General features: G+C 35.0%; 1 protein-coding gene across 11 annotated transcripts in view; it reads left to right on the forward strand.

Annotated features, from left to right (window-relative positions):
- Positions 1-15,696, forward strand: part of EPHA6 (EPH receptor A6) — a 946,939-nt gene that overhangs the window by 410,551 nt on the left and 520,692 nt on the right. For all 11 annotated transcript variants that reach the window (XR_001740110.2, XR_924126.3, XM_017006211.2 and 8 more), the window contains one exon: positions 1,120-1,275. Coding sequence is in view for 9 of the 11 variants with exons in the window: in XM_017006211.2 (XP_016861700.1) it covers positions 1,120-1,275 (156 nt within the window). In the remaining 2 variants the exon portion in view is untranslated. The remainder of the gene's footprint in view (positions 1-1,119; positions 1,276-15,696) is intronic.

A 15,696-nucleotide genomic window follows, 5' to 3' on the forward strand; every position in this document is an offset into this window, starting at 1 on the left:
GGGGGTTTCACCGTGTTAGCCAGAATGGTCTCAATCTCCTGACCCTGTGATCAGCCCGCCTCGGCCTCCCAAAGTGCTGGGATTACAGGCGTGAGCCACCGCACCTGGCAATTTTGGGCTAATTATTAACAGACCTATCCTGTCGAATATATTCAGTTATTTTAAACTGCATATTTTAGTAGAAAACAATTATTTTATTGGCAAACTGTATAAGGTAGATTTATTGACTATTTTGTGATACATTGTCATAACTGCTGTCATAAGATCACATTTAGTAATTATTTTTAAACAATACTTCAATTATGAAAATGTTAGCAATGTTTCTCATATATTATTTATGTATTCTGAATTTTCAAAATTTTAGAACAATATGTTAATGATAACCTTTTTTGAGTGACTATATACTATTTATTTATTAATAAGTTATTGAAGAGACTATTGTATATTTGTGTACCACCACTCCTCATTGATGTTGATATTGAATAACCAACCTCTTGATAGTAATTTTACTGTGTGGAATTGGTAATTTTGCTTCTTTTGAATTACTAGATCATTTATAAAAATATTATTATAAAAGCAAACATAAACTATCAAAAAATAGAGTTACAGCATATACAAAAGAAAATTTAGCCACTAAGAAAGGTGTCAAAGACATACTTTCACCAAATTAGAATTTTCTTCTTGACTACTCAGAAGAACTGAAGGGAAAATAGAATGTAAATACATTTTGAACAGAATGGTTTAATGTTATTTAATGCCTTCTCTGAGAACGACACAAAATCATTTTCCTTACTGCCAGTCATGGGCATCCCCATTCTTAGGTAAGCACTGATATTTTGTGTGCACGTGCCCGTGTGAGTGTGTGTGTGTGTATGTGTGTATGCTTGAGGTATAATTTTAAAAATTAGCAGCCTCAGCTAAAATATGATTGCATTGTGGTTTTATTAACTCTCAATAACTAATTTCATTTGTTAATCTTAATATAGATGTCTTCTCTATGTATGTGTAACACTGTACTCTGAGATCCAATGTGAATATAAATTAAAGTATGTTGTACATGTACAAATAAAAGAATCCTAGCAATAATAACTAAAAAAGTGTTTTTTTCTCTTTTTACAGCTTGCAGACCAGGATTCTATAAAGCTTTTGCTGGGAACACAAAATGTTCTAAATGTCCTCCACACAGTTTAACATACATGGAAGCAACTTCTGTCTGTCAGTGTGAAAAGGGTTATTTCCGAGCTGAAAAAGACCCACCTTCTATGGCATGTACCAGTAAGTCTATACATTTTGGATTTGGAAATTCTGTTTCCAACCCTTTTGGTCTTTTCATTCTAAATTTAAAAAATAAGTAAATGTACAAAATCTTGCATTATCAATGCCATTTGTCTGTGATAACAGTCAAGGAAAAAGCTTCTCTCTCTTCTCAGCATAGTTGCTTTTCAACTCTTTGTAAAGAATGGGTTTACTCCTCAAAATTCATTTGGATTCATGATGTACAAATGCCAGCACTGGTTTGAGGCCCTACAAGTTTTCCTTATCCATAATCTGTCCTTAGGAAATTATAGCAGTTGAAGGCTGCATGAGAAGTTATGAACAAAACTTCTGTTCTTTGCTTCAACCCTTGACCATTTTAAAGCATATCAATTTAGGACCATATAGTTAACGCGTGAGGGAGATTCCAGAGGAAACTTTAAAAGTCATTGTGTTATTGTTATGTAGAAAAGTTCAAGTTCCCTTGACATTTATCTTTAAAGGCAGGTATTTTTGAGTTTTTCCACATTTCACCTCTTACTTTCTCTCCAATATTTTTGGTTAGAAGCAGTAGAATGTTAAATCTAAATGTGAAGGTCATTTTAATGCATACACCAAGAATTTTAAATGAATTGTATTCTTCTATTATTAAAATATTGTAAAATATCAGTACATTTAAAAAATAAAAGTGAATATATTAATACATTGCTAAGTTATGCAAAAGTAAAATAATCACCCCTTAGATTTTTTTTAAAGTTTTGTTTAATATGTTAACATAAAAACAAAAAACACAATATATAAATTTAGAAAAAGGTAGAGGAGACTTTTTTTTTTTTTTCGAGACAGAGTTTTGCTCTTGTAGTCCAGGCTGGAGTGCAGTGGCATGATCCCGGCTCACTGCAGCCTCCACCTCCCGGATTCAAGCGATTCTCCTGCCTCAGCTTCCTGAGTAGCTGGGACTACAGGCATACACCCCCACGCCCAGCTAATTTTCATATTTTTAGTAGAGATGGGGTTTCACCATGTTGGCCAGGCTGGTCTCGAACTCCTGACCTCAGGTGATCCACCTGCCTTGGCCTCCCAGAGTGCTGGGATTACAAGCATGAGCCACCGCCCCTGGCCGAAACTATTTTTTATGAAGAGTTACAGCTTGCAAGGTGGCCATCCTGCAGGCTGGGAAATATAGCCTCTGACCAAGACATGCACTTTGAGGGTGGTAAGAATGACAGGGATTTACGCTGAGTGAGGTGGTCAAAGACACATATTAAATAACGCTATAGGAGTCATGAAATTTATGAAAGCAGAAACATGCACATGGGCAATTGAGCTTCATGCCTCAGCATGGGACCCATGTACAAAAAAATGGCCATGTTAGCACAACCCAAGGGTGGAGTTTTCAGCCCTCTGATGTCAAAAGGTGAAGCAGAGGACGTAGAAACCCTCACTGAGCATACTCTGGACTGGCCAGAACTACTCCGTGGTTGGTGGTCTCTTATCAGGAAGGAAGCTGGTTAGTTGTTATGTCTAAACCACAGAAAGGGAGGGGCAGCATCAGATAGTTGATATCAGCGGTGGAGTGGGTCTTTAAAAAGGGCTGGCTTCTCTTTAACCCTTGAAGAAGGAAGCTTAATGGTAGTAAAGGAGGGAGGTGTGTCCAGCCTCTCATCTCATCATCATAGTCGGGATCCCAGTTTTAAGGTTTCTCTGGGGTAAGCTTGGCCATGAGGGGGTCTGTTCAATAGGTTGTGGAATTCGGATTTTATTTAATTTTTATTTTTATAACAATAGTTTTTGGGGAACAGGTGGTGTTTGGTTGCATGGGGGAAGTTCTTTTGTGGTGATTTCTGAGATTTTGGTGCACCCATCACTCGAGCAGTGTACACTGTACTCAATGTGTAGTCTTTTATCACTCACTACCCTCCCATCCTTCCCCACTGAGTTCCCAAATTCCATTATATCATTCTTATGTTGTTGCTCCTCATACCTTAGCCACCAGTTATGTGAGAACATATGATGTTTGGTTTGCCATTCCTGAATTACTTCACTTAGAATAATGGTCTCCAACTCCAGGTTGCTGCAAATACCATTATTTTGTTCCTTTTTATTGCTGAGTAGCATTCTATGGTGTGTGTGTGTGTGTGTATATATATATATATATAATGTAAATGTCATATAAATGTTATATATATATATATGTCACATTTTCTTTATCCACTTATTAGCTGATGGGCATTTGGACTGGTTCAACATTTTTTTGCAATTGCAAATTGTGCTCCTATAAACATGCATGCGCAAGTGTCAAATAATGACATCTTTTCCTCTGGGTAGATAGATACCTAGTAGGGGGGATTGCTGGATCAAATGATAGTTCTCCTTTTAGTTCTTTAAGGAATCTCCATACCGTTATCCGTGGTAGTTGTACTGGTTTACATTCCCACCAGCAGTGTAAGTGTTTGCTTTTCACCACATCCACATCAACATTTATGATTGTTTGATTTCTTAATTATGGCCATTCTTGCAGGAGTAAGGTGGTATCGCATTGTGGTTTTGATTTGCATTTCCTTGATAATTAGTGATGTTGAGCATTTTTTCATATGTCTGTTGGCAGTTTGTGTATCTTCTTTTGAGAATTGTCTATCCATGTCCTTTGCCAACTTTTTGATGGGATTATTTGGTTTTTTTTCTTGCTGATTTGTTTGAGTTCCTTGCAGATTGAGTTCCTTTGTTGGATGCATAGTTTGCAAATATTTCCTCCTGCTCTGTGGGTTGTCCATTAACTCTGCTGATTATTTCTTTTGCTGTGTGAAAGCTTTTTAGTTTAATTAGGTCTTATCTATTTGTCTTTGGTTTTCATTGCATTTGCTTTTGGGTTCTTGGTCATAAACTCTTTGCATAAGCCAATGTCGAGAAGAATTTTTCTGATGTTATCTTCTAGAATTTTTATGGTTTCAGAACTTAGATTTAAGTCTTTGATCTATATTGATTTGATTTTTGTATCAGGTGAGAGATGAGGATCCTGTCTCATTCTTCTACGTGTGGCTTGCCAATTGTCCCAGCACCATTTATTGAATAGGGTGTCCTTTCTCCACTTTATGTTTTTGTTTGCTTTTATTTTTATTTATCAGTTACATAAGTCAGATATTAAGGTGAACATTTGCCCTTCCTGGTGATGAATTGGTACCAAAATTTTGCTTATTTTATTTACTTCCATAGAAGCAAAACTAGACTTATGTAATGTCACATATTTCTTAGAGGCATTTCTTAGAGATGTCCCAATTTTTTAAACTTAACTAATGCAGTTCATAGATTTGTCTGTATTACTATAGATTTCCTTATAAAATATTTTTATGGAACACATTTAATAAAAATGTAATACATTCATTGTTGCTATTCATTAGTAGATGTAATTTTGGCTTTCTGATTGTAAATGCTAAGTGACTGCTTTCTTCAGAAAATTACAGCCTAGAAAATTACTACTTAGGTATTTTTTTTCCTGTGAACATATTTTAAATTTATAAATAGCAAAATAAAACTTCTTAATATAATTTCTCACTTATGGAAAAAAGTTTTTAGCAGACAAATCTTCCTATTACTATACATGCAATCTTTCTTGCATGGTTACTGAATAGTATTATATATAGTATGGACAACATACTACAGTTTAGGTAGTTTGTGATATTTCAAATAGTTACAGACCTGTCAGGCATGTATCCCTCAAAACCTATGTAGGAAACTGAATGGAGCTTTCTAAGTGTTAGAGGAAAATATCTTTTTATTTTCTTAGGAGGCTATAAATAGAAAATTGGTAAATTGAGGAAATAAGTTCCCATCAATGTAACCCTTTAGTAAAGTAGTATAGTCAATAATTGAGAAGGCTTAGAGTTATTCAGCATGACAAACTAGTCAAAGAAAAATAAATATGGGCTACAACAAGGTCTATGAATGTGATAAGCTTGTCAGTCATTTTTGAATCAGATATGTGTATTTTTCCACATCATTTTATGTCACTTAAATTTGCTATCATTTCTAATTTCCTTCTTTAATGCTTAATATTATAAATTATATTTCAGAAATGCTAGCCTAGCTTGTTTATTCAAAGTAGAAGCAAAGAAAGGTTTAATTCTGTCATGGCTGGGCAGAATTTTAGACAGGGAAGAGCATGCCATTGTTGCTATAGGGCAGGAAAAATAATTTTCCTTCTACGCTTCATAGTTCTTAGTTGAGACAGACTCCAGTAACAAAAGAGATTAGAAAGAGAAAAGCAAACAGTAATTTACTAACATGTACCTCGTGTATACATTGGACATACCTAGGGAATGAGTAAATCTCAAAGAGGTAGCTCTGAGTTTAGGTTTAAATACCATCTTCAGCTGCAGCAAAGAAAGAAGAGTTTTGGGTGGCGGAGCAGTAATGGGGAGGTAAAATCACAGTAAACCAGGACAGGATTTGTTATGTTGATTTAAGTCAGTGCCTTCTTCATGGATAAGAGTTTCTAGTGACTTAGTGATCCTTCTCTTCCTGAGAAGACAGAGAGATACACTTACAAATGGAGATTTCCTTTGTAGATACAAATTTTCCATAGGAAAGGGTGATTTCTACTTTGTTTTCAGAGCTGCTACTGTGTCTGCAGTTTCTCAAATAAAATGACTCAAAATAATCCTTATGCCAAAGAGGCATATTTTTGAGTGGCGTATTCTGGTCTCCTATAGCCATATTTTAGGGTGACATATTCTGGTCTCCTCCAGTCATATTTTGGAGGGCATAATTTGATCTCCTACATTGTTATCAATGATCCAAAGAGAGAACCCCCAAAGAAAAGTGAAATATAGAGCTTTAGTCAAGTTTTCCTAGTCCAGACCCAGGAAGCTTTCTTTCTCAAGGCTTCTCTCTTCTACTTTTTTAAGAGCTTACTTACTTTGTTTGGCAAAGACTCAGCTTCATGCTGAATTCACTGTCTTTTAAAGCCAGATTTTCTCAGAGCGAATCTTGGTGATACAAGAGCAAACGGAAAGCTACTCTTTCACCCTCTCTGAATGTTTACTGATATGAACTGACAATAGCCAGATTAAGAGAAGAAAAATGCGTAGAAATGTATTAATGTGCATAAGCATGGTGAGGGGGCATATAAAACATGAGACTTGTAGAAGGTCCAGATGGTGAAGTTTATATACCCTCTTTGTAGGGGAAAGGAAATGGGGCATGTAGACAATTGGAGGGATAGTAAGTGATTTTTAGGAGAAATGAGTGCACCCAAGGAACAATGGCCTGGGAGAAAGTTCCTCTGAGGTCTGAGGGAGGTAGTGAAGAAGATGAAGGGTGGAACTTTAGTATGAAGAAAAATAGTGTTATTATGCAGATAAAGTATCTCAGGTAATCCCTAGGAGCTGCCCTCAGAAGAATAGATGAAATGTCTTTCTGGGCTTGGTGATGACTTATAGTCGTTTCTTTTTTCCAGTGGTTAATTTTTGCTGGTTGTTTGACAAGACTCCTAGGGAAGGGCTTTTAAGACAATGCATTTCTTCTGGATGAAGTTCCCTTAAACAAATAAAGAAACTTCAGAGAAATCTCCTATTTGTGCTGTGGGAATGAAAGGGGATCAGAGAGACAGGTTGACAGGAAAGGTCAGAGAGAGATTTTGGTTTCGAGGTTTATTTCTGAGGCCCTGCAGTTTCCTCTAATTCAAAGAACTCCACATGCCAAAGGACCACATTTTTGGGTGTGATTTTCTGAACCCCAAAAGCATTTATTAGATATGTAAGGTTGGGCAAATTATTTAACTTCTCTTGACTCCAGTTGTACCATCCATATTGATAACAATACATACCTCATACTGTTGTCACAATGATTTAAATGAGTTAATATTTGAAAAGTGCTAAAAACAGTAGCTTGCACATAATGGGTGCTACATAAATGCTTGTTAAATTAAAAAGAAAGCTGTTCTCTTACAATTCGTTTTGAAAGAGTGTCTGGTAAGTTAAAATTCAAACTATTAGAAATTTTATGTTGATGCTATTTTGTCAGGTTCACGGCTTCCATCATTTGTATTCCTGCAAACTAAAAACAATAATGATAATAATATACTGAATGCCTAAGACCTTTTCACAAAATATATTAAGTCCTGCACCTCTAAGCCTATCATCTGATATTGTTAGCAGTGGCAAATCTAACAGGCCTGCAGCGACTTGATTCCTACCTCCTCATAGGAAAGAATTTGGCTGAGGGGCATAAGTCAGTATGAGACCAAGGCAAGTTTTAGAACAGGAGTGAAAGTTTATTAAAATGTTTTTGGAACAGGAACAAAAGAAAGTACACTTGGAAGAGGGCCAAGCAGGCACCTTGACAGTTCCAGCTGCCTCATTTGGCCCTTTACTTGAGGTTATATACATTGGCATGGTTCCAGGGTTTCTGTTTCTTCTCTCCTGATTCTTCCCTTGGGGCTGGCTGTCTTCATGCACAGTGGCCTGCTGGCACTCGGGAGGGGCCACATGCACAGTATGTTTACTGAAGTTATGCACATGTTCACTGGAGTCATTTTTTCTTACTGAGTGTTTCTAGGGGAAGGTCATATACCGGTCAAACTCTGCAATTTTGCCTCTTATGTACCTGCTTGAGCCCACTCGTCCAATTCCTGAGATCTTATTGGTAAGCAGCTGATCACCAGCTTCAGGTGTTTTCTATCTATTGGGAGACCACTGTTCCCTGGCACCAGCTGCCACCAATTATGGTTTTAGAGAGATAGTTTAACAGCCACCTGACCATCACCTGGTCATTGCCTGACATTCTTGGGGTGGAGGGCCCTCTCCTGCCCTGTTCATGTCTGCCTAGCTGCCTACTCCATCAATATCAGTGAGGTAGTCTGAATCATACTTTGATTAGTATGGAGTGACCCTAGCAGTTATTACAATGTATGCAAAAAAAAAAAAAAAGCAAGTACCATAAACTTCAAAACATTATGTCTTCTAAAACTTAAAAGATGAGATTGTTGGGGAAGAAGATCAGAAAAATGACAAGTTAAGAGGTTGTTGAACAATTACACTTAAGAGGTTCATGGTAAGTCCAGCAAGATATAGAACTTTTGGGGCCAGGAATCGAACAAGCAGTCAATCTTTCCTGTTTTTCATTAACCACAAACAGTAGCAATATTTTAATAGATATGCATTCTCTCCATGCTAGATATTGTATTTCTATGAATTTGCCATTATTTATTTCCTTTATTCTTATGGTGTATTATCTAAGAGTTGGAATTTAGATCATCAGTCATTCCCATTACTATCTGGTGTCTTGGTCAATCTTAGCATTTAAAACGGTGCTTTCAGAGAACCTTCTAGGGATTTAAAAGGAAGCATTTTTTGGTGTCAGGGGTAGAGAGAAAAGTAACTAAAAATTTCAAGTATGTGATGAAACCATTTTGAATGTATGATTAATAAAATGAAGAACTAAAATTGTGGAAATGAGTAACCAAAATATTTGGCCAGTAAATGGCCTAGTAGGTGAAAATTTCATAGATAGGTATAGGAGGCAATCATATAAATGATAAGATTTTAAGGATGCTAAGAAGCCCGGTTCCTTAGTGATTTTCTCAAAACAACAGCAACAAACCTAAAATTTTTCTAGTACAACACAGCATGAGATTTTACCATTAAGAGTTTTACAGATTTCTTTGGGTTTGTAGAGATGGTGTCTTTTTATTTTATAATCCTAATTTATTCACATAAAGATTATTAGGTGTCTCAAATGGCTACAGTCTAAAGAAAATTATGTCTCACATTCAAAGCTAATCCTTCCAATTGTTGGGGGATGATCTGATCTTTCAATTTTCTGTTGGGCCTAGCTGGTTTTGTTTATCTCCTCTACTGAATTTTTGTTTCTGCTAACTCCTTCCTTAGAACCTATAGTATATATTCAAATTTATATTATCAAAAAAAATGCTCCCAGTCCAATTTTTCTCTTCTCTAAAACAAATACCTTGGAAAAATCATCGTCATTGGCTATGTCTACTTTTCACTTTTAATTTGCTTTTTACTCTGTTGCATTTAGATGTTCCCATTCACTCTACTACAAGAAGATTTTGTTTTTACTACTTCTAGTAAACTGCATAAGAAAAATTCACCAATGATCTTCATTGACATTTTGTATTAGAAACATTTTTTGTCCTGTTATTCATGACACTTATCCTGTTGATCATTCTTTTTTTCTTGCAACTTCCTGTTCCCTTTTAATCTAAGACATTGCAATCTCCGTTTCACCCTCCTAATTTTCTGATCATTTTGTTTATCACCATTGATGATTCTTCTTCTTTTGCTCACCTGTTAAATATTAAATTTTCCCATGTTCTTTTTATTGCCCTTTTATCTTTTCATATGTTCTCCTTAACTCCCATAATTTCAAATGTCACCTGTAGATAGATGATGCCCATATTTTTATCCATATCTCAGTCTTCTCTCCTGAGGTGCAAAGTCTTCTAGACAACTGATTGTGGGATCTGACAACCTGTATGTCCTATGGAAACCTGCCTGCATCTCTGACCTTATATTATAGCATACTCCCCTTGATTACCAAACTCCTGGACTTCAAAGATGCTGAACTTGTGTTCATTCTCAGTGCCAGCAGTTTCCTCTACTTGAAATGCTCCTTCCTTAGGTTTTATTTTTGCTATTCAGAATCAAATATCAGCTTTTAGGGCAGGCATTTCCTGACTGCCCCCTCAAAATAAAATTATTCGCAGTTACTCCTTTTTATGTCATTGTGCTTTCTTTTTTATAGATTATATCATTCTTAGAAAATACTTGGTTTATTTATATACTTGCTTCCTCATTTGTTGTCATTCTGTCCACAAGAGACTACAAGGTACCTGGCATATAGTAGACACTAAGAACCTGATGAATGAATAACTAATAATTTCAAGCTCAACCTGAGTTAGCCAGTATTATTGCTTTCTCTCTCAGACTGCTTATCAAGCCTAGCTTTTGTTTCTGTGTCCTGATGAATCATCATCAATCCACCCATCTAAGCCATGAAGCTTAAGTCATAACCCCTACCCCTGACTTCAAAATAGCCTTTCAGTTCTACTTTTTAGCATTTCTTCTATCCATTCCTTCTTGTAAATTCCTGGCCTTATCCTTTTAGTTAAGACTCTCAACTTTCCTTTGGGTTAATTTAACAATCTCCTAGCAACTCTCCTTCCTTTAGTCTTCCATCCTTCCTAAATATCTTCCAAATTATTAGAAAGTATTATTTCTAAATGAACAACAATAACAATGAAAAACTTTGATCATATCCCCACTGCTGCTTATAGCCTTTCACATCTACAACCCTTCTTTGCCAAAATTATAAGTCAATCTAAGGACATCCAAGGTTCAGGCTTGGTCTGTCTCTCCCTAACCAACTTTAACTTTACCAGGATTTCTCAAACAGTCTGGATCTTAATCCAGTTATTCCAGTTATACCAGTTACATACCTGCAGGTTTGGGCTTCCTTGTTTTTCTTTTTATTGTTGTCCTTGTTGTTTTCTTTTTAAAAATTCATTGTGTTTCTTTTGCATTAACTGAAAAATATATTTTAAAAATTAGGAATAAGAAATTTAAAAAGAAAGCTGAATGTTTTATCTAATGTTTTAATATATTTCATATCCTCTTAACTTTTTTTCTCAGGTGACTCATTAAATATATGCTCTGTACTTTAAAGAATGAGCTGTGGAGGACACTCCACACTATCAGGTCTTGGTCAATTAGGGCTGCCTCTGGGAGCAGTTTGGAGTACAGGAGATCCTGCTATCTGCCAAGAAGTCTGTTATCAAAATAACTGTCCAAGGCTTTTCCAGGCCAAAAGGGAAAAATAGTCACTGAGGTTGGAGAAACAAAGTAGGCAAATAAGAGTTATTTTAAAAGTACTTGTCAAGCAGAAAACACAAAGTAGGAGAAGATGGAGAGGAATGACGTAAGAGTCTAATAGGTGGGTGAGTGAGAGGTTAGAAAAAAAAATCCCATGGTCTTAGCACTTTTACTTTGATGTTTTTCATGTATTTAAATCAATAGAGAAATTGTCTTTTAAAACTATTAAACAGGTGCTGGAAGATTAACGCATTTAACAAACATTTACGTTGCCTACTTAGAAAAGTTCAAACATAAAATGTAAGTCATACACATGGGTAAATTCTAATGCGTACCCTTAGGAATTTCTTTTGTATTGTTTTATCTAAATATACAATCAAACAAATACCTATGAGTGAAAACATTTTGCTACAACTTCATTCTTAATACACAGGCAAATATCAAGTCTTTGTGTTTGATATACAGTGACAGTGATTGGGAAGAAAGCATAAAACTTGAATTTACATTTGCTCTAAGGCTAACAGTGTAAAGCATGGTTTCTTTAGTGCTGGAATAATTGGCCACTTGAGAAAATTATTATTCTCTCACTCTTACTCTGCGTAGAGCAAATGGTGGTTGAGATGTAGTTGGAGAAGTATTCTTTCCTCTTTTCAGCTGCTCTAGCCACATCGCCGCTCCTAGGTATGCTCAGGATGCTCACAATCCAAGCATCCCTGTTCTGCTTGTTATCTCTTCTTCCCCCGCCATCTCATTACTTTTTTTCTCTTTTTCTTAAATGTAAGTTTTGCATAAAGAAAACCATTTTGGCCCTCTTGCTTTTCCATCTCACAACTGAAATTCAAAAGGACAGCTGATTGTTTAGGTGACTCATTGTACAGACAATGCAGCATTCACGATTTTGCAGAGCCTAGAAAGGGAGAAATTGCAACGACAGTTTGTTTTTTTTGTTTTTGATTTTTTTTTTTTACCTCAAGCAAGCTGTTATATTTTAGACTTCACTTATCATAAAAATAACTTAAATATTCACTTCGTATATTGCAATGCTGTATTTTTAAAATTAAAATAACCCTTACACTACTGAATAGACACCTATATGTAATGAATCCTCGTTTCCCCAATTATAAATTACTGATAGATATCACTTGAGTTTGATGGAGTTGCCTAAACACATATACTTTAATTTACATTTCAGCAGAGGTTCTTTTATCAAATAATCTGGGAGAGTTTCCTCTATTATAAGGCCATTCTGCTGATGTTGGAGAATCGAGTTACCACTTGTTGCCAGTATGTCTTTATTCCTGACCTCTGCAGTTGTATCTCAGAAAGAATTGTCCCACTCAATATCATCTGTTTGTACAAAACAGATCATTATCAAGAAATCATTCATAATTTGAAACAGAACATCCATAATTGTTGCTACAATGTTATGCATTTTGAGGAAAGTTTATTAATTTGCTTGAATTTATTCATTAATTGTTTTGCTTTTCCCTCTGAAATTATGACAGTGCTCGGATTTTTCATATTTCTCTTTCCATTTCTAATGGATGCTTGTCTAAAAGTAATTTACTCAAACATGAAAAAGGCCATATGTCAGTGAGCATGATTTTTTCCATGGTATTAGGGAAACTGGATAATGTTTAACTCAAAAAATCTAAGGCCAGGTCCTCATTATTTTATTTATATTTAAGTGCTCTTTTTCTCATTTGTGTGATTATGTTTACTTTTACTATTGATCTGCATATCTATAATACATTTCTGTAATTATTACAATTAGTTATTCTATGGACTAATATTGAGGTTTTCTTCTTGCATTGATAAGGATAGTTGATAGCTACCATTTTGGAAATTTCCCAAGCTAAAATTATGTACATGCTGTATGGCATAGAAACTTGAAGATGCAAATGCTTACTTTTCAGGTTTTCAAGTGTCTAGAGAACTGTATTTTGAGAAATTTTTATTCTCTCCTAATGGGTAAAGAGATGGTGGCACCTTATTCTCTTATGGGTCTTTATTAGTTAATATCAGTGTTCATAATATAAACATTCCCTTCTGCTTCAAATAATTTTCATGTAATATAGATCTGTTCTTAGTAGCACTAGGCTCTTAAAAAATTATAACCTTGAATTATCTGCTTTACAATACTTGTCAAAATTTGTACTATGTGCAATATAATTCTTAGAGAATTGCACAAAACTATGCATTGCATTCATTTCTTTAGTTAAAACATGTTACCTTTGGTTCAAGCTAGATTAGCAGACTTGTGCCTATGAAAAAAATTACTTCAGTGTAATATGTGCATTATTTGCTAAGTGTCAATCATCTCTTCTATAAAATGGGGATATTAATAACCATTTTACAGGGTTATTGTGATGATTGAGTGAAACAAATTATGTGAAATATTAAGTACACCCCTTACAGTTAGCTATATTTTTTTCAATACATGCTTACCAGGTATAAAAGTGATCAGTTCTGACAGACGATAGCAAGGAGTTGTCACAAAGGAGGTAACAACTAAATCAGAATATGAAGGGTGAGTAGGAATTTTTCAGAGAGCAAAAGGCGGTAAAGGCAATTCAGGAACAGTAGGTACAAAGGCAAAAGGGAGCTAGAGGCTAAAGAATGGACGGGGGCCTGGTATGAAGACACTTGTAGACAAAGCTGAGAAGTTTAGGTTTTATTCTGGAAATGAATGGTATTTGGTCTATTCGATTTTTTGTTTGCCTGTTTTAACTATTAACTTTAAAAATAAAATAACTTCTAAAAGTTAACTAAATCCTGATTGATGGGACTATGAAAACATTAATGCATAACAAGTTTTGTTTTAGGCATCAATTTAATTACTAAAAGTAGGTGCAAGCATATCAAAGATAATCAGAAGCAATCCGTTTTGCCATATGGAATGCAAAAGATTTGAAGTGTGCATACTCCTGAATTTTGAGTAATATTTACTTTGAAAACTTAAGTTTCAGTTGCTCTTCTGTATATAAAATTATTTAAACCCTCTAATAGCATTATTTAAGGGAGTCTCCTATAGGAAGGCAATAATCAGTTACTAATTTGTATGTTTTGAAAATGTGTATTTGACAATACTTTGAAAACAAAAAAAACTATATAAAAATACAGTAGACCCTTGAACAACATGGGGGTTAGGGGCACCAATCCACTCCCCACTTGCTGTTGCAAACCTGCATCTAACTTTTGGCTCACCCCAAACTTAACTACTAATAGCCTACTGTTGAACAGAAAGTGTAATTAGAATATAAACAGTTGATTAATACATTTTATATGCTACATATTATTTATTATATTATTACAATAAAGTAAGCAAGAGAAAATAAAATGTTACTAAGAAAATCGTAAAGGAAGATAAAATGTATTCACTATTTATTAAGTGAAAGTGGATCATGATGAAGGTCTTTGCCCTCATTGTCTTCAGGTTGAGTAAGCTGAGGAGGAGGAGAGAAAGAAGGGCTTGTTCTTTCTGTCTCAGGGGAGGCAGAGGCAGAAAAAGTGGAGGAGGTGAAAGGGGAGGCAGGAGAAGCAGGCACACTTGGTTTAACTTTTATTGAAAAAGATTCCTCAATGTAAGTAGACCCATGCAGTTCAAAATGCATGTTGTTCAAGGGTCAACTGTACATTTTCATATATATTTGTCAGATTTTCTATTTATAGGCTGAATATGATGTAATAGGGTTTTTAATAATCTAAACAGATAAATACTGGCTGTCATTCTACCACTAATGGACTGCATAACCTTAATGTAATTATTGTCCTTTTCTGAACCTCGTTTCTTCATCTGAATATACTGATATGGTTCCTTCCTGTGCTAAGATTGGAGCTCCAGTTTTGTGATTGCCATTCATTTCCAAATAGAAAAAATTTAATAAACAAAACATATAGATAGAGAAAGAAGTGATTTAGAGAAAGAGAATATGAAATTCATTGATACGTATGTATCAATATCATATCAGTGAACATGATATTCACTGATACGTAAAAGCATTTACCTAACCATCTTTAAATGGTTCAGTGTGTTCCTTTAATCTTGTCTTTAACCCAGATTAGCATAGAACTATTTTTCTCTCATTTGTAAACTCAGAAATATGAATAAATTTGTTTTCTGTTAATAAACCATGCACTACATTCTTGGCAGTCATTAAATTAACAAAGGTAGTAACTTAAGAACTGATTAAATATAGCTTAATATGCAATTGTCTTTCATGACTTGGTATCTTCAGATATTTCGGTGAAATTTTTATTATTCTTAAGATTTTAAAAAGTACCTCTGCAAACTATGATTAGTTATTGACTTAATTGGTGAGCAGTCACTTTTCAGCCCATATGAAAAATCCCCCTGTTTGTTTATGGGTTTAACATATTTTTATGATTATAAACGTGAAACATAAATCTGTACTGGTTGATGCGACAACTGAAATATGGCCCTTCAGCTTGTTCTTCTTCTGTGTCAGACTTTATTTAAGCATGTTCTGCAGAATGCTAGTATTCCTCTAGATGATCCTTGGAAAATAAGATTCTATGAACAAATTTTTGGGAAATGTTGGATTCAACAAAGTGAAGCAAATAGTGTTAATTTTGTTTCCACATCAGTCCA

The sequence above is a fragment of the Homo sapiens genome, chromosome 3, assembly GCF_000001405.40.
Source record: "Homo sapiens chromosome 3, GRCh38.p14 Primary Assembly".
NCBI classification, from domain to species: Eukaryota; Metazoa; Chordata; class Mammalia; order Primates; family Hominidae; genus Homo; species Homo sapiens.